A 19,299-nucleotide genomic window follows, 5' to 3' on the forward strand; every position below is an offset into this window, starting at 1 on the left:
TGCTGCAGTTGATAAGCTCTGGGTTGGAAGTGTTGGGTCTGGGATTGCCAAAGTACAGGACTCTAAGTTAAATTTAAATTTCAGATTTTAAAAACATCAATTTTTAGTATAAGTATGCCCTAAATATTGCGTGAGAAGTTCTTATTGAATGACTACTTTTTTATTCTTTTTTTTTTCTTTCCGCTCTTCTTTTAGGTTCAGGAGGTACATGTGCAGGTTTGTTACATGAGTATAATGTGGGGTGCTGGGGTTTGGTGTACAAATGATGTCATTGCCCAGGTAGTGAGCATAGTAACCAATAGGAAGTTTTTTTTCCTCCCACCCTCTTTTCTCAAGTAAGCCCCAGTGTCTATTTTTTCCCTCTTTGTGTCCATGTGTACTCAATGTTTAGCCCCCATTTATAAGTAAGAACATGTATTTGGTTTTCTGTTCCTGTGTTAATTTTATTAGAACAAGGGGTTCCAGCTGCATCCTTGTTACTGCAAAGAACATCATCTCATTCTTTTTTATGGCTTCATAGTATTCCATGGTATATATGTACCAAATTTTATTCGGTCCACTACTGATGAACATCTAGGTTAATTTCATGTTTTTGCTATCGAGAAAAGTGCTGCAATTAACATACGTGTACATATGTCTTTTTGGTAGAATGATTTATATTCCTTTGGGTATATATCCAGTAATGGGATTGCTAGGTTGAATAGTAGTTCTAAGTTCTTTGAGAAATCTTAAATTGCTTTACAGTAGCTGAACTAATTTACATTCTCACCAGCAGTGTTTGAGGATTTCCTTTTCTCCACAATCTTGCCAGCATGTTATTTTTTGGTTCTTTTAATGTTAGCCATTCTGTCTCATAAAAGATAGTATCTCCTTGTAGTTTTGATTTGTATTTCTCTGATGATTAGTGATGTGGAGGTAGGTTTCTTATTACTGATTCAATTTCAGAAGTTATTATTGGTCTATTCAGGTATTCAATTTCTTCCTGGTTCAGTCTTGGGAGGTTACATGTTTCTAAGAGTTTATCCATTTCTTCTAGATTTTCTAGTTTGTGTGCATAGAGGTGTTCATCATGGTCTCTGAGGGTTTTTCTATTTCTGTGGGGTTGGTGGTAATGCCTTCTTTTTCAATTTTAATTGTGTTTATTTGAATCTTCTATCTTTTTTGCTAGTCTAGCTAGTGGTCTATCACTTTTATTTATTATTTCAAATAACCAACTTTTGGTTTCATTAGTCTTTTGTATGAATTTGCATGTCTCAATTCTATTCAGTTCAGCTCTGATATTGGTTATTTCTTTTCTTCTGCTAGCTTTGGAGTTGGTTTGCTTTTATTTTTCTACTTCCTCTAGGTATAATATTGTTGATTTGAGATCTTTCTAACATTTCGATTTAAGTGTTTAGCACAATAAACTTTCCTCTTAACACTGCTTTAGCTGTGTCCCAGAGATTCTGGTATTTTGTATCTTTGTTTTCATTAGTTTCAAAGAATTTCTTGATCTCTGTCTTAATTTCTTTCTTTACTCCAAAGTCATTCAAAAACAGGTTGTTTAATTTCCATGTAATTGTATGATTTTGAGAGATCTTCTGGGTATTAATTTGCTCTTTTTTTATGGTGTGGTTGGTGTGAATTTAGTTTTTCTGAATTTGTTAAGAATTGCTTTATGACCAAATGTGTGGTTGATCTTAGAGTGTATATTCTATTGTTGTTGGGTGGAGTGTTCTGCAGATGTCAATTAGGTTCATTTGGTCAAGTGTTGAGTTTAGGTCCCAAATATCTTTGCTGGTTTTCGGCCTCAATTATCTGTCTAACACTGTCAGTGAGGTGTTGAAGTCTCCCACCATTATGATACAGTTATGTAAGTCTCTTTGTATATCTCTAAGAACTTGTTTTATGAATCTGGGTTCTCCAGTGTTGAGTTCATATATATTTAGAACAGTTAAGTCTTCTCGTTGAATTGAATCCTTTATCATTATGTAATGCCTTTCTTTGTCTCCTTTGATCATTGTTGGTTTAAAGTCTGTTTTATCTGAAATAAAAATAGCAACCCCTGTTCTTTTCTGTTTTCTATTGCTTGATAGATCTTTCTCCATCCCTTTACTTTGAGCCTATGGGTGTCATTTCATGTGAGATGGATCTTCTGAAGACAACATTGGGCCTTGCTTCTTAACTTGCCACTCTGTGCCTTTTAAGTGGGGCATTTGGCCTATTTACATTCAAGGTTAATATTTGATATCTGAGGATTTGATCCTGTCATTGTGTTGTTAACTGGTTGTTATGTAGACTTGGTTGTATAGTTGCTTTAGCACGTCAGTGGGCTATGTACTTAAATGTGTTTTTGTGGTGGCAGATAATGATCTTTCCTTCATGTTTAGCACTCCCTTAAGGGCCTCTTGTAAGGCAGGTCTGGTGGTAATGAATTCCTTTAATGTTTGCTTGCCTGCAAAGGATTTTATTTCTCCTTCACTTATAAAGCTTTATTTGGCTGGATTTGAAATTCTTGGTTGGAATTTCTTTTCTTTAAGAATGCTGAATGTAGGCCCCCAATCTCCTCTGGTGTATTAAGTTTCTGCTGAACATCTTGCTGTTAACCTGATGGGGTTCCCTTTGTATGTGGCCTACCCTTCTCACTAGCTGCCTTTAATATTTTTTCTTTCACGTTGACCTTGGAGAATCTGATGACTACGTGTCTTGGGGATGTCTGTCTTGTATAATATCTCGCTGAGATTCTCTGGTTCTCTGAAGTTCCTGAATTTGCTTGTCAACTTCTCTAGCAAAATTGGGGACGTTTTCACGGAGAATATCCACATATATGCTTTCCAAGTTGCTTGCTGTCTCTCATTCTCTTTCTGGGATGTCAGTGAGTCATAGGTTTGGTCTCTACATAATCCCATATTTCTAGGAGGTTTTATTTAATTTTTAAAATTATTTTCTCTTTATTTTATTATTTTTTTGACTGAGTTGATTTAAATAACTGGTCTTTGGGTTCTGAGATTAAACCTCAGCTTGGTCTATTCTGTTGTTAATACTTTCAATTGTATTATAAAATTCTTGTTTTTAGTTTTTCAGCTCTGGAAGATCAGTTTTCTTCTTTCTTAAAATAGCTATATTGTCTGTCAGCTCTTGTATTTTATTGGATTTCCTTAAATTCCTTGGATCTTGATGATCTTCATTGCCAACTAGATTCTGAATTCTCTGTCATTTCAGCATTCTACGCCATGTCATTTCATTTTGTACTTCCCTCTCTGGAGGACACTGATATGGTTTGGCTGTGTCCCCACCCAAATCTTAAATTGAATTGTATCTCCCAGAATTTCCATTTGTTGTGGGAGGGACACAGGGGTAGGTAATTGAGTCATGGGGCCCAGTCTTTCCTGTGCTATTATCAGGATAGTGAATAAGTCTCACTAGATCTTATGGGTTTATCAGGGGTTTTCACTTTTTCTTCTTCCTCATTTTCTCTTGCCACCACCATGAAAGAAGTACCTTTCACCTCCCGCCATGATTCTGAGGGCTCCCCAGCATGTGAAACTGTAAGTCCAATTAAACCTCTTTTTCTTCCCAGACTCAGGAGTGTCTTTATTAGCAGTGTGAAAATGGACTAATACAGGCACATAAGCAAGGCACCATCTTGGAAGCAGAGAGCAAGTCTTACCAGATATTGAATCTACCAGCACCTTGTTCTTGATAAACCATAAAAAATAAATTTCTATTATTTATAAGTTATTCAGTCTAAGATATTTTGTTATCACTTATCAGCCTTTTGGCTAAGATCAAGTGAGGCACCTTTTATAGCAACAGGAAGGAACTAAGGGAGGTCCCATATGTCACTCCTTAGTCATTCTTTTCAGAATGTAGAACATTCTTGTTTTTAGCCTTGGTCCATAGGCAACATTCTGGAACAAAGAAAAAGGGCCCATCAGCCACCTCTTATATGTGGTTTTATTTCCAATTTTCCCTTTTCATGGTGCCAGAGCCACTCTATACTCTCTAATATGTGCTCACTTGCCTGGAGAGCCAGACAGATCCTCTGAGCACCTTTCCACTGAGATCCAGGGGAGGTAACAGGCTATCTTCTTCCAGAGCTGTGCACCTGCTTTGCTTGCTGGTTATACCTAGACTATTAGGCCCTAAGGCACTTCCAGCAGATTATCTACTGGCTTTGCTACTTTAGTCCACAGCTTCAGGAATCTTCAGCAGTTCGGACATATTCATATCCACACCCACAATTATGAACATTTATGCCTATGATAGGTCTGATTTGTCCCACTCCAACTGACAGTGCAGAAACCAGATTACCTGACAGCTGTCTGACAATAGGCTCCAAAGGAGGCCCCAAGTAGGAATCCAGCCACCACCACCACACAGTAGCCAGGGTGGGATGGGATATCTGAGAGTAGCAAATGTTGTAGCTGAAGTGCAGCTTGGACCACAGTCTTTGACCTGAATGACTCAAATCTAGATGTGCTTGGATCAAACACCTACCCACTGCACATTTTTCTTCTGTTAACCACTTGTAGTGGACTCTGTCAGTGTTTCACCTACATCCCCTGGAGTCCCTTTTACTGTTCTTTGTGTCCCTTTCCCAGCTTCCATTTGATTTGGCTGGGAACAGGCTACACCCATGACTATCTGTGGATGACTAATCTTGGGCCGCTGGAGCTGTTTTGCCCAAACAGAAAAAGAACAGAAATACCTGTTCCCACCTCTTTCTTGCTGTGGGGCCTTTGAACAGTGACCACTGGGTGAGGGAGAACAAAAGCCCTGTCTCTTCCTTCCTGTAGAAACCACTTCAGGGTGTCCTTGACACTGTTGAGCTCCCCTGAGTGTCCCGCTGAAGCTGCCCTCTGTGGGATTTCCCTATACTACTGTCTGGCTTAGCTTCTTCCCCATCCCTGGTCTTCCCCACCTCCCTTACTAGTTTCTCCTCATACTTCCTTGATAAATCCTTTGCATACGTACCCTTATCTCATGGTATGCTTCTGCAGAATCCAACATTTGACATTCCATTTTGACTAGGAGTCAATAATACAGAGGAGGCAAAAAATACTGGAGAAAGCTATTGCCCCTTGAGTTCTTACACATCTCTACCATGACTCTCCATTCATGTGTCCCAGCTCCCTCCTGCTGGCATTAAATTAAACCACTCAGAATGAAAACCTTGAAAAATTAAATAAAAAGCTTTCAGTTTTTGGAATGTTTATATGGATAGATGTTTTTGGAAAGAAAAGGACATTTTAATATACTTGCAGATAATTAGCTCCAACAGGAAACTCAAGAGTTTCAAAGTCATGATTTTGGCAAAAAGAATTGAAACACATGGAATGGAAATCTAAATTATAATATTCTAGAGTAGTTAGATAATTGTGTAAGTGTGTTAGGAGGAGGAGAGTCACTTTCTAATTAGTAGAAAACTTCTAAGAATTCTATGGCACACTGACTAAGCATTTTTAAAGAAAAAGTCCAACTGAAATCAAGAGCATAGGCAGTTAAGATTTTTTTTAACTCTAAGGGGATTATAATCAGGCAACTCAGAGAGTTATATTCTAGAGAAAAGAAGGCAGCCCCTTTACAGTGCCTCTGACAAGGAAGCCAATCAGCTCACTGCCTTCTGTATAAGCCAGGTATCTTCGTTTGCATTCTCCAGAGGCAGAGCCTGAAGCAGGGGTTCTTGTGCATGTGACTTAATGAGAGTGTGCTCTCAGATAAAACTCGTAGGGGAGTAAGGGAAGCAGGGTAAGGCATACTAAAAAAAAAAAAAAAAGGCAAGGTAAAAATGTTTTGCATGGAACCTAGTCTCACCCATCCTAGGGTAAGCTCTGGAGTTGTCCTGCCCAGAAGCAAGGGAGTTTGGGCTCTTGTACCCTTGGTAACAGTCAGTCATTGGCCACAGGCTGCCTGGTGGAGGTAGGTAGGATGGGACGTGTAACCACCTAATGTCACTGGGTATGGCAGTGTTAGCCAAAGAGAGAGCCTCTCTGGAGAAGGGAGTAGCTGCTGGCAACCAACACCCACAGTAGCTGGGGGTGAGCACACCAGCCTAGTAAAGAGATGGTGGGGGGAGTGTTCCATAAGCATCTGTTACACTAGGTTACCTCAAAACCTTGATGTCCCGGAGGAAATCCCACTGCAAGATGGCTTGCTCTGCTGGCTTACACATGCCTCCATGTTCAGTAGTTTTTCAGTAATTTTCTAAAGAAGAAAACCTAATCCTCAAACCACTCCTTCTATATTTACCCAATGCTGGTGCCTGACTAAAAGAAAATTATTTGTTTCTCATTTGCAACTTAATGTTTTGGCCTTTATTAAAAGATGTGCATCTCATCCTCTCCAAACTTTCCATCCTTCCTGCAGAAAACTCACCCAGGCTACTGCATACTCTAGGGTTTTGGTCTCAGTGGATGGAATCTTGTTTTGAAGAAGCCAAATATGATGGATTACTGAAATCTGTTGTTCCCCCAGCTCAGCTGAGGGACTAAGTCCCTGAGAACAGAGATAAGCAGTCTTTTCAGGGTTTTGCCATTTTGATACTGAGGAGATTTAGGAGAGGCCTTTCCAGCATTTGGGGATATCTGTTAAGTATCAGAAATCACAGAACTTGGTCCTGTGGGAGACTTTGGTCACAGAAGGTCAAACTGAGAAGTTCCAGCACCCTGGTCATCTCTGATGAAATCTGAGGAAATCCACGGATTTGTCCACACGCACCCTGCCTCCCTTGAAGCCCTGCAATGGGCAGTAGGAGGGCCTGTGGGAAACACTGCCATTGCAGGTAAGAGGCTGCAACAGAGGGCCCCACCAGCTCGCCTCAGAATTACTCCTTGGATTATAAGAAAGCCTCGGGCACGCCCACAAAGTTCAAAAAAAGTGCCACCTGGGACTTCCTAGTCAGTTCAGAGCTCTTTTCAAACTAAATGACCACTCTGAACTGCTGCATTTTGAATCCACCAGCTGCAGAATCAACCAGCACTGACTTCAGAAGAGACTGAAAGGGGACGGGGTGCATCCCCTTTGCCACCGTTCCCCTGCAAGACAATTGTTCCTATTTAGCTCAGGCCTGTCAGTTAGAATTCACACCTCTATCCTCCCCACTGAGCCCCTGGACTGGGGTGAGAGCTCTGTGTTCAGAGAATCATTTTCATGGGCAGGAGCGTGAAAAGCAGGATGGTGGGTGGTGACTTTTGTTTGAAATGAATTGTGTCTGGGAGTCTTTTGAAGAGCAAAAAATAGACCTATTTATTGACCTAAAGCCATCCATGAAATGGGATATGATCTCTGGCACAAAGAATAGAATAGAAACTCCCCAATATTGTAGCTATCTAGAGATGAAAAAATTGTCTGGAGCTAAGACTTTATTTCTTCATCCGCATTCCTGATGCTGGGCTTCCTGCAGAATGCTGAACAGTATTATCTGTTTCTGGGCCTCAAATAAAGATAGAGAAAGAAAACGAGAGAGGGTGGGGTGGGGAGATCTAGCTAGCTACATTGATCTACAGATATACTTTAATAGTCCTCTTTACTTACAGACACTCTGAGACATGGTCAGACAGTTCACCTCACCTTGTTAATAGTAATTGGCATAAATGCTTCTTGAACTTTTGGCTAAGAGCAAGTGTAATGCCTGCTCTTACCAGTTTAATAATAATTGGCATCATTTTCTGAGCACTTATATAGGTGCCACATACTGTGACAACATTTATGCATATTATCTCATTAAATTCTTAAAACACTACATTTTAAAAAACCGATTAACTATAGCCACATTAAAAAAAAAAAAAAAGGAAAAGAAAACTGAGGCTCAAAACATTACTAAGCTTGCTTAAGGCCACATACCCAGGAAACTATATTAAAATTTGAACCCTGCTCGGCCTGAGCCCAATGCCTGAGTTCTTAACCACAGTGTCATTTAATTAAAGAAAAGTACACTCTAGAGAGTAACCATTCAACAGGCACTCGGGGTGGCCTTGGAAAGGAAAAGAAACACAATGAGACACTGAATGCACTTTAATATTTGAGAGAATTGGTTTCTCTTAAATGTGTCAGCCTATCATCCATGTTGTTCACAGCTTGAATCATAGGGTGGTTGTAGGTTGAGGGGAGCAGTCACCATTGACTCATCTCTGTCCTTCATCCTTTGTAGCTAGTCACCTACTAAATCCAGTGGATTCACCTTTGAAATGACTCATAACCACTCTTTCTTACTATATTTTTTCCTCCACTTTGAGCTCAGCCTTCATCTCTTCCTATTCAGATAACATCAACATTCTCCCCACTGGCTGGTCTGACTCAGCTCTCTCCTCATCCTGTCGGACTGCCCACTGCCAAACATGGTATCCTAAAATAGTGCGTCCAACATTTCACTATCCTGCTCAAACATCTGTGATTGCTCTCTAGTCTTTGTTGGCCTAAGTTCTGTTTTCTGCTTTATAGTCTGTCTTTCTCTCCCAGAACAAATGTCCATCCCCAGTCTGTACCCTTTTTCATCATCTGCCTTCCTTTTGCACCTGGCCACCCTTATCTGTATTATCCTCCCTCCCTCACATTGTTACCTAAATCATATCCAAATGTCAAGGTCAAGTCTCACTACACCCATGAAGGTTGTACTTTAAACCAAACCACTCAGTCCTTAACTTTTCTATAGATAAGAGGGGTATTCCAGTTTGGATTACTGACAAGAGGAAAGGCCCAGACAAGTATCTGAATGTAGAGATGTTATTTGGAAGTTACAGGAAGATATGATAGGGTGGTGGGGAAGAGGGACAAGATGGGAAAGGCAGCCAATAAAAGGTGCATTTTCAAGCCAGTTACCGCTGTGGACAACTGGAACTTAGTCCTGTGGGGAACAGGGGAGCCAGTATAGGATACACACTTCAATTATCTCATTCAAGGGGTGATGGGGTTGGAGTATGGATACACTGACTAATCATCAGTCATTGCTAGAGGGCTGCTCCCAGGGGGCATTCACTCCTCAGCACTTCTGTCCTACTAGCAAAACAAGCTCCAGTGGCAAAAGAAAGCCCCAGTCAAAAGAAATACTGGTGTTGGAAGTTGGCAATCAGATGGAGCAGACTGAGATGGTAGGAGCAATGGGATATATGAGTGGGACCTGGCAGCATCTGCTACAATAACCAGATAGTTTATTACCCAAACCCAGGCACTTTTGAGAGTGAAAAGAAATACTATTAATAATTATTGTGACAAAAAAATCAAGATGGTCCTAGGCAAATTAGTATGTATGGTATTGCATTTATAACAGTGAGTTTTATATCCGATTCTCCCCATCTCCACTCAGATGATATGATCCTTTAGGGTATGTTCAGTGTGGTCCAGCTACATGTGCCTTATTGAAGCCAGTACAGTGCTTAAGACAGCAGATGTTCAGAAAATACTGGATGGCTGGACATTGGATGAAGTAGCCACCAAAAATTCAAATTATGTTACTATTCAAAAAGCACAGCCTTTAAAGTCAGACAGTCCTGAGTTGAAACCCAAACCCCACTGACTTATTGTTAAACTGAGATGTAGATATGGCACATCTCTGAACTGTGTTTCCTTATCTTTAAAGTGGAGATGAAAATAATATATTCCTGTAGAGTTATCAAAGATCAGAGATGAGCTATAAGATAGTAGCTCTTAATATCCAGTAAATCAAACTATAGTAAATTAAAATATAGTCATTATTATTGCAAAAGCTATTTTTTAAAAAATGATACTATTGATGTCATCTTGCTCATTATTACCTCAGTCACATGCTGTAACTGGTACTTTGTCTCATCCCAGCATTTTGTTTTCTTCTCTGTGACTGTAGATGTTTTCACATAGCAGCAGGATTGAGCTTTCATAAATTGCACTTCCATTTGTGGAGACAAGGACCCTGGAATTGACTGGGCCATTCTCTAAGTCAGAGATGAAGAAGAATTTGGAAAAGGGAAAATATTTCCTGCAAAGAATTTGAGAGAATAAGACATGGCATGAGCGATTACCTGGACTGCCCAAAATCAGAATCTCCAGATTAAGCGTCACTGTTTCTCACCGTCTAAGAGGCTATGAATTAAGAGAAAAGCCACAGTAGAAAGATACCTGACTTTTCAAAAGGAGAATTCTGACACCTCGAAAGTAAACAAGTATTACTTAAGCTGCTGAGATGTCTTCCTAGCTTATCTCCATCACCATTACTTTTGATGTCCACTCAAAATTTTCTTTGTATTCACAGGATCACAGGAAAATAGAACAGATCTTACAGGTCCAATTACTAGTTCATATTGCAATGAAGCCTAAAAACACCATATTAACCCTGTATTGAGAGATAAGCAAGGGACAAATATGAGATGAAAATGGAGATGCATATCCTCTCACCCTCCCTTCTTACAACCTGCGTAGCCTGCTATCATACCCACTATGTCAGGGACCTTTATGATTTCTTTTAATGCATTTATTTTATCAATATAATACATACATGTCATAAAAAGTTAAGAGATAATGGTACTAAAAATTTATAATAAAATACAGCAATAATCTCTACCACTCCTTCCTATCCAGAAGCCTCATTCCCCAACCAGCAATTTCAGTGATTTTAGTCCTTTAGATATTTATTCTGAAATTTACTTCCGCATTTCTAAATAATATATGTGGAAGAAATGGCTAGTTCCACCATATCCATCGTTTCATTCTTCCATGGAAATATATACCACAATTTCAAGCTGAGCTCATGACTTCCAGAAATGCATTTTCAAGCTCCTCTTTTAATTGCATACAGTTATGCAATTCAATCCTGGACAAAGGAATGTAAATAAAGGCATTCCATATAACTTTCAAGAACCTTTCTTAAATGACACCGGAAAAACATCCTTTGACTGCTTCCTTCTTCATTCTTTCTTCATTCTTGGTGGCTGAAATACAGACATGATAGCTGGAGCCTGAGCAGCTACATTCAGCCATGCGGTTAACTTGGGAAAGGAAGCCCCTCACTCTGGAACAACAGTATAGAGGGAGATTGGGTCACTGAGGATTTGATGAACAAAGCTATCACTCCAATCCTGGACTGCCTAGTTCTATGTTGACTGAGACAGAAATAAACTTTTTCCTTAAGTCACTGTTACTTTGTGGTTTTGTTTTTCATAGCTAACCAAAGCATATATTTTATTGCTTTTTCTTGATTTATCAGTTTTAGAAATTTTCTACTAGTGGCCTAAAATAGTAGATAAATATTTAGCTTTCTAATAACAGCCACCCACCTCCCACTTACATATCCTTCATCTCAGTATACTTCCATTACATTAATGCTATGTAATTTATATTCACTGCTAAACCAAGTAGTTTGGCAGTGCATATAAGTAGTAAACTATGAATGGCTTCTTTCTTATGCAACTTCTCATTTTACCCAGAGTTAAAAATAGCCTTTTTTCTTCATTTACTTAGTTTTCTCTATCGTTACGGCTAATTCTTTCTACACTGTCCAATAGCCTCTCATTCACTTTTCTGCACAGGGCAATGTATCGGATCATCTGTTGGTTCTACTTTTTATTTTCTGAATTCTCCCTGCTGGAGACTTTGTCCTCCTGCTGTCTGGACCTGCTGCACAGCTCTCATCCCAGGTGTTTCCTTCACCCTCATCTGGGGGCTTTCGTCTGCCTCAGTCATGTATAGGATTCTTGGTTTCCTTAACATCAAGCATTCTACTTTCTTGGTGTCTCATTTATTGTGGAAAACTGCTTCCAGTAGTTTCATAACAAAGGGTGGGTACGTAAAAGGTAAATTACATTGAATGTCTCCTTGGTGGAGTATAGACACAGGGATGGCCCCAGAGTTTCTGCAGGCTTCGCCACATCAGAAGACCTGGACGAAGCAATGAAAGTAGAATATCGCCTCCCTTCTCACCTTCAGGTACAACTGTATTGCTGCAGAAGACTATAATCAAGACAGAGAAACTCATTCTCCACAATGGGCCTTTTCAGAAGGAGAGACAAGGCATTCCTAATGCAACTGGATGAGAGACGCCCAAGAACTCCAGATGTTTCTCTTACAAATGTTTTTCTTACAAATTGAAAATGTTACTTTTCAAAACTCTGACTTTAACTCTGTTAACTTACTCTCCAGGGGCAAAACATGTTATGTGGCGTTGTTTTCTCTTGTTGCCTGGAGTGATAGAATCTGAAAGCCACTACCCAGAGCTTATGAGCTGTATAATTAACCACATAATATTTTCACCTTAAAAATCCTCCAGCAATGTTCAATGAAATCAGTAGATTAAACAGCCCAACAAGAATAGGGCATTCCTCTTAGCCTAGAAAACATGCTGGCAGTTTTGCCTCTTAGAAGCCAGGAGCACTGATCTTCCCCTCCTTATGCTTCTCAACAACCCTTCACTTCAGACTGCCAGGCAGACTACAGTACTAGGGAAAATCCAGCCCAGGTTTTGTGCCATTTCTTGTGCAAGATTGGATGGGAAGCTTGTAAAATCTATTTTGCTCCAGGTGGAAAACCAGCCATGATGAATTAATCCAATATACTTTCTTGTTTTTTAATTTAAAAATTGTATCTTGTGGTGTATTACCTGAAGGCTCTGCAGCAGATGAACACACAAGACTCAAGAAAGCAGAGGGAGAAGCTACTTCCCACTACTTGGCTCTCTCTGACCCAGAAAATCAGGCTAGCGATATTATGGTAGTGTAGTCTAAGCAACATCAGCAAATCGACTGAGAAATCACTCCCTAATAGATTATAATCATAATAAATATGCTATAAGCAGCGTTCCATCCCAAAAAATTGCACAGGAGATATGGGAAAGTTTTTATGCCATTTTGGAAGCTCTGGTGTAATTTCCCTGCTTTTGAAGGAAGAAACAGCAAATGGTTCTTCTCTTTGGCTATTATCTTCTCATTCTATTTCTCCTGCATATCCTTTAAAGCAGGGGGGTGCCTACGTGCTAAGCTAATGTTCTCCTGAATGCACACATTCCCTCAGAAATTGAAGCAATGTATTTTGAAAATATAGCATCATGAATGTGAAATAAATGTGGAAAAGATGGGCTTCACCCAAGTTATCTTCCCTGTAATGGGTTTTTAAGGTCTTCAATATGTCACTATATGATAACTCTCCAAGACTAGGCTACTGAAAATGGCATTTCCAAACTTATTTGACCACTGAATCCTTTATTTGGGAAAGGGGAGTGAATATTTCTGTATTTCATAGACCACTTGTCTGGGGAGTGTAGTTTATAAAAACCAAAGGGAATGAAGGCAAAACTAGACTTCAATGCCTCCTGTTCCCATGGTATATTTTGGAATCAGTAATACGAGTTTTGGGGAAACCAAGAGATAAGCTTTAAAAACTGCCTTTGTCATATTCTGGCTGTTCTACTTCAGTCATGTTATTTAACCTCTATGAGATCTATTTCTCCATCTGTAAAATTGGGACAATAATACTTTTTAAGAGATATTTAGAAACGATTGCATGAGATATTATATATAAAGCTCTCCACTGAATGCCTCACCCTAAGTGGGTGCCAAAAAGACTAATAGTCTTTGTATTTTATTTTAATCTTCTCTATTCCCACGTCCACCTCAGTGCATCAAGGACCCCAGTGTTACTCACCTGTTTGTTGATGTCTGAAATGCCTTTTCACAATGAGTGAAATAGATGTGGCAGTGCACAGAAAAACCAGGAAGAGGGAGTTACACTAAGGAGGTGACTCTCTAATATTAGGGGCGACCAAATTATTTGGCAAGAACTTTTTTGTTAAATACGTTTTTTAAAATACCCATACTCAAAAGTTCTCATTCAGGAGATTGAGGATGGGGCTCTAACTTCTATATTTTTAGCAGAATCTCCACAGAATTATGATGCACCCAAAAGTTTTGTAACCCTAAGGTTTAAAATATATACCTATATCCATCTAGATCTAGAGTTAGATAATATGACAGACACTTCTGTGAGAGTGATTAGCAGGAGAAGGGAGAAGGTGAGGGTCTTGGTGATTAAGAAATGGAACCAGGGAAGGAAGACAGAACAGAATCAGAACAGAAGCTCTAAGAATGATCTCTGTCAATTTTCTATTTCTCCCAAAAATGTGCCCGGGATGGTGGTCAGGAAGTAGAAAAAAATATTAGTGCGGCCAGAGATACGTGCAGCTTGATGGCTTTTGAGACATGTGAGCAGGCCCCATTAGGCAGCTATGCACTGGGTCATGGTAAGTGCTGCCATTTGTCCCAAAGTCACTTCCAGCTCTGAAGTGACCTTTACCTGTACCTATTACAGTAGCCTGGTGTTATAGTCAACAATCCTTTGACAAGAATTTTTACGGACCTGGGAAAATCTAGATACTGAATGACCAAAACTCTAAAGCTCTTCATCTTGTCTCAAAGAATGATCAGGTTGAGCAGTTCCCTCTCCTGGTATCCTAGTAAGCTTCATATTTCAGCATCCTTTCTTGAATGGAACGACCAGATATGCTCTCCTATTTTGCTAGTCCAAAATTGGGATGTAATCATCAATGAAAGTGGTTTGGGAAATAAGGAGAAAATCGCAGAAAGAGAAGCAAAGCAGCCAAAAAGTAAATAAGTTCATCCCCGAATTTCAGGGTTCCTGTGAGAGTTTAATAACTGACATATAGTGTCCAGCAGAGCATGGCCCATAGTCTGGTGTTCAATGGGAAAGGAACAATAGACACTGTGTTTAGCTATCAGAGCTATCAGTCATCATAAAGATGACTGCGGCCATCTTTAGCATACAGAGATGCTCTGTCTCCCAACTAGGCCCAGGGCTCAGCATGCAGCAAAAATTCAATACACTTCAGCTGGCTAAGTGCATTGATGGTGCTGACTCCAGTATCAACCATCAAAATTAGCAAATTTTTGTGACAGATATACTGTGTGACCACACCACATTGGCCTCTGTATTGGAGTGGTGATTCAAAAGAGATAATAAAGCATCACAGTGTTAGGTACTTACAATCTTGTCTGGCAAGACTTATACACACTTGCACATGCACACATTCATGCATGCATACACATACACTCACACGCTGCACTCTGAATACTCCAAACAATTTACAATCAAATAGAAGATGGTGACATGAAAATGTGATTTTGGAATTTGGATTAAAGAAAAATTTGGTATGGGCTGGAGTAGCCTCATTAGGAGAAAGCAGTGGAAAGAACACTCGTTGCGGAGTCAGGCAGTCACAGACCCAAACCTGAGGCTCCTGTGATTTTTACTGTAATTTCCTTTTCTGTCAAATGAGAATAATAGCACCTGACTCGTGGATGACTTAAGGAGTTAGAACATTGAGCAAGGTAATATCTTACAACATATCTTTAACAAACTTTTCATGTTGGATAGTATAATGGGTTGAATAATGACCCCAAAGATGTTCATGTCCTAATCCCTGGCACCTGTAATTATGTTAGCCTGCTTGGTTAAAAAAAAGAAAACACTTTGCAGAGGCAATTATGTTCAGGATCTTGAGGTGATGAGAGTACCCTGGATCATTGGAGTGGGCCCAGTATAATCACAGGGGTCCTTATAAGAGGAAGTCAAGAGGATCTGAGTCAGAGAAGGAGATGTGAAGACAGAAATAAGGGTGAAGGGATGCAGGGCCACACACACAGGAATGCAGAGGGCTTCTGGAAGCTGGCAAAAGCCCAGAAATGGATTCTGCCCTAGACCCTCCAGAAAGAGTACAGGCCTGATGACACCTTGATTTTAGCTTCATGGAAGCCATTTTGGACTTCTTTGCTCCAGAGCTGTAAGATAAATGTATATTACTTTAAGTCACTGTGATTGTGGTAATTTCTTGCAGCAGCAAGGATAGGCTAAAGCAGATTGTTTTTGCTAACTGCTACTCACCAGCCATTGAGGCTAATTCCCATTGCTTCAGGAAGACAACAGAGTTCAGGCAAGAACAGGGCATTAGGCATTCAGCTTTTTACATTCAAAATAGGCTCCTAAAGCACATTCAGAGACAATAGTGGTGAAAGCTGTAACTTCCATTTTATAAGAGCTGAGATTTTTTGAGAGAGAGAAAAAAGTTGTTGCTGGTTCCAAAGATCTGAAGCTTGTAAACTCAAAAGATCAGAGGAAAGAGGGTCTGTCCTGAGAGAAGTTCTGCCACTACACAGGGAGGAGAAAGAAGCCTGGGACATAACCTAGAGGAACGTGGAAGGAGGACAAGAACAAAGGCAAGATGTGGTCCTCCTGTCCCACAGGGAAAGCGGACAGGTAGATGTGTGTGAGCCGGTAAAATAAATCAGGAGGGTTGAATTTGAGACACGCTGAAAGTGAAAGGGGCTTCCCAATTCAATTCAATAGTTATTGGAGGAAGCCCCCTCAGAATGTGCCCCACGTAGTCAAGAAGGGCTGTAGAGCAGAAACAGAGGCTTGTGGCATTTAGGCAGTAAGAGCACCTGAGATAGTACTCGTAGTTTCCACAGAGATCCATAACTCTTCATGTTCCAGTGGAGAAACCCAGAAAAAGGCAGAGAAGTTCCATGCATAGCCAGGGCCTTTGTGTCAAGTGCATAGACCTCCTGACTGTAGTTCATTACATGGTCCATGGATAGTGGCAGAGGCAGCAAGCAGGCAGCAGAAACTGAGCAGAAGAGGGCAGCCAGTGGAAGGCACCCTTCCCTTGCAGCTACCATGCTGGATATGTTTCCCTTTGCATTCAGACACCATCCTGGAGAGGAAAAGAGGGAGAGCAGAAACCCTAAGAAGGAAGATCAGGCTTGATAGTGAGTTTCAACTTTTAATTATCTGAATTTAAAGCCTGGATTGAGTATTGACCCAAAAAGAAATGACATTTTGATCAGAAGAACCTGAATTATTTTGATAAAAAATTTCCCCCACCGTAAAGAGTAACATTAATTTGATGAGAGTAATAAATTGAATTAAACTGCTATACTTGCAAACTGTGACTGAATTTTAAATCTGGTATGTGGGTTTAAAGCACCGGGCACACAGTAGGTACTCAATGATATTACTTAGCCCTTAATAACTGAATTAATTACTTAAATTTCCTTCTGTGGATGAAGGAAAGGAATTGTCTAGAAAAAAAAATGACCAAGAAGAAAATATTTTTGGAAGGGACAAGAACCCAGTCTTAAAGGAATTAGCAGTTATCTATTGCTTTTACCTGCCCAGTTTAGGGACTTCATCCTGGTAATAGCAACCTGATCTTTCCCTGGGGTCCAACCCTGTCCTGTTCTTTCCATATTATTTAACAGGCTGATCTCATCCCCAGCTCTGGGACTGGGTACATTAGCAAGGCCTGGTCCATCTGCATACTGTATCTCTGTGTTCACTGTAGTCAATTCAAGGAAAGAGACAGAATCCAAGTTTTATTCCACTAGGAATTCCAAGGGCTTTTCTTGACACCATTTAGAATGAGGTTCTCCTTCTGTTGGGTTTAGTACACTGAAAAAAACATAAGAAAGCCTGGACTTCTGTTTCTATCTTGCCAAAATAAAGGAGATCCTGCTTGAAATTAAATTCAATGCAGAAAAAAGAATTGGGAGATTTACAGAGAATATACCAGGAAGATTTATTTGTGCACCTGGACTCATTCATGATTAACTCCTTGTTTTACTTAAGCAAATTATGTTTCTTTCACTATCAAATATAGTACCTTGAATAAAACATACAGGTATGCACTTGCTGTGTCCTCAAGACAACAAGGAACTCAGCCTAGCTAGAGAGCAGTCTCCAAGGTGAATGATGGTGTCAGAAAAGTCTGCAGAGGCAGGGCAGCAAATATCATGAGGGTTCTTGACTGCCAAGCTTTCTGACTTGATTCTGTTCCAAGAAGCAGTAAACAGCCAGAGCAGGTTAAGGAAAGAAGTGACATAATGAAAAGATTACTTGGGGGAAATAAGCCTGGCAGCTATATCAGGACTGATTAAAGCAAAGGCTCTTAACATGGTGTTCATGTACTTAGGTTGGAAAGACTTGACAGCTTTATTTACACTAATCTCAATCAAAATGTGGCATTTTGTTCTATTTTGAATGTAGCAACCAACTTCAGTAGTATCAGCAGTACTTGTATGTTTGCCAACATAAAAGGTACAGATAATTTTATATCCTGTTACCATTGTTGCAGGTATATCAAAATACCAATTATACCTATTACTGCCTTAAAATTATAATGCTTACTGAACCTATCACTGCATATTGTTGTATAAGGCATTAATAGAGAAGCACATGTATTACTGTAGCATAAATTGGTGGGAGTAAGGTTTCTATTTCAGTAACTGTAGTTTTATATAATTGGTTTACTTTGTAAGCCTATGTATTTTACTTTGTACATTTAAAAACGTTATTTAGAAGAGGCCTTGAGTTGTGCCAAAGGGACCCATGGCACAGACACACAGATACACAGGCACAAAAATTAATGATTAAAAACTCCTACATTAGAGAAGGCATAAGGTCTGGAAGCCAGAAGCTATGGCAGAGGCTGTGACACATTCAGTGATGAAGCCTGGTGGGTTTCAAGTCAGGAGGAAGCATGAGAAGGAACACATATTCCCAAAAGGCTTTGAACACAATTTCAGCTGGATCTAAAAGAGAAAATGAACCTGTGCAATTCAGGCAATAGAGAGAGCTCTAAGAAAGCAAGAACTCCATGTTTTGAAACCCAAATGAATGGAGCAAAATGAGCACTAAACAAATGAAGAAATGATGAAAATGGAAAGAATGGGATGCTGACCTGGTTTGGGATCAGCTTTGTGATTTACTTTAACATAATGATAGAACTTTCCAAAGGAGATGTACCATAGGAAAACCAAAATGTCTCCTAGGAGCTCAGCTCAGAAGTCAGGGTGGGCTGAGTCTATTTGGAAAGCTTCTGTACAGAAGTGACAGTATGAAGATAAATGCTTTCTCCTAAGGAGAGGTGTGGAGGAGAGGAAGGACCTGTGGCAAAATCAGGACAGGTATCAGAAGAAACATGGAAGCTGGAGAGCAAAACCCAGAGATGCCTGTCTTAGTAGGTGCAATAAAGTAAAGTAGATTCTTTAAAATAGAAAAGAAATATGTAGAACAAGGCCAAACTTAGAAAGCTAGAAAGGGGAGGATTCAAGAGAGCAATTTTGCTCAAGAGATAGGAAGGGAGAATTTAAGAGAGGTGACTGGCTCTTACTAAATTGTGAATAGTACCCCTGATTTATGTATCTTGTGTCTCCTGGCAACTTTTAGCACAGCGCCTGGCAGTTTTTGAAATGTTTTCATTGTAATCAAAGCATCAGAGACTACAGGCTCTTGATACTTTTTATAACCTAGGAAGACTGCCCTTCCTCAACAGTGACCGCATTTGCA

The 19,299-nt window shown here is 39.9% G+C and overlaps 1 annotated feature.

The window, feature by feature from the left end:
* Positions 6,396-6,596: a silencer, noted in NCBI's record as "peak4584 fragment used in MPRA reporter construct". NCBI's record gives its function as "represses an SCP1 promoter by STARR-seq MPRAs in K562 erythroleukemia cells {active_cell/tissue: K562}" and the evidence as "EXISTENCE:reporter gene assay evidence [ECO:0000049][PMID:32103011]".

The sequence above is a fragment of the Homo sapiens genome, chromosome 3 (assembly GCF_000001405.40).
Source record: "Homo sapiens chromosome 3, GRCh38.p14 Primary Assembly".
Classification (NCBI taxonomy): Eukaryota; Metazoa; Chordata; class Mammalia; order Primates; family Hominidae; genus Homo; species Homo sapiens.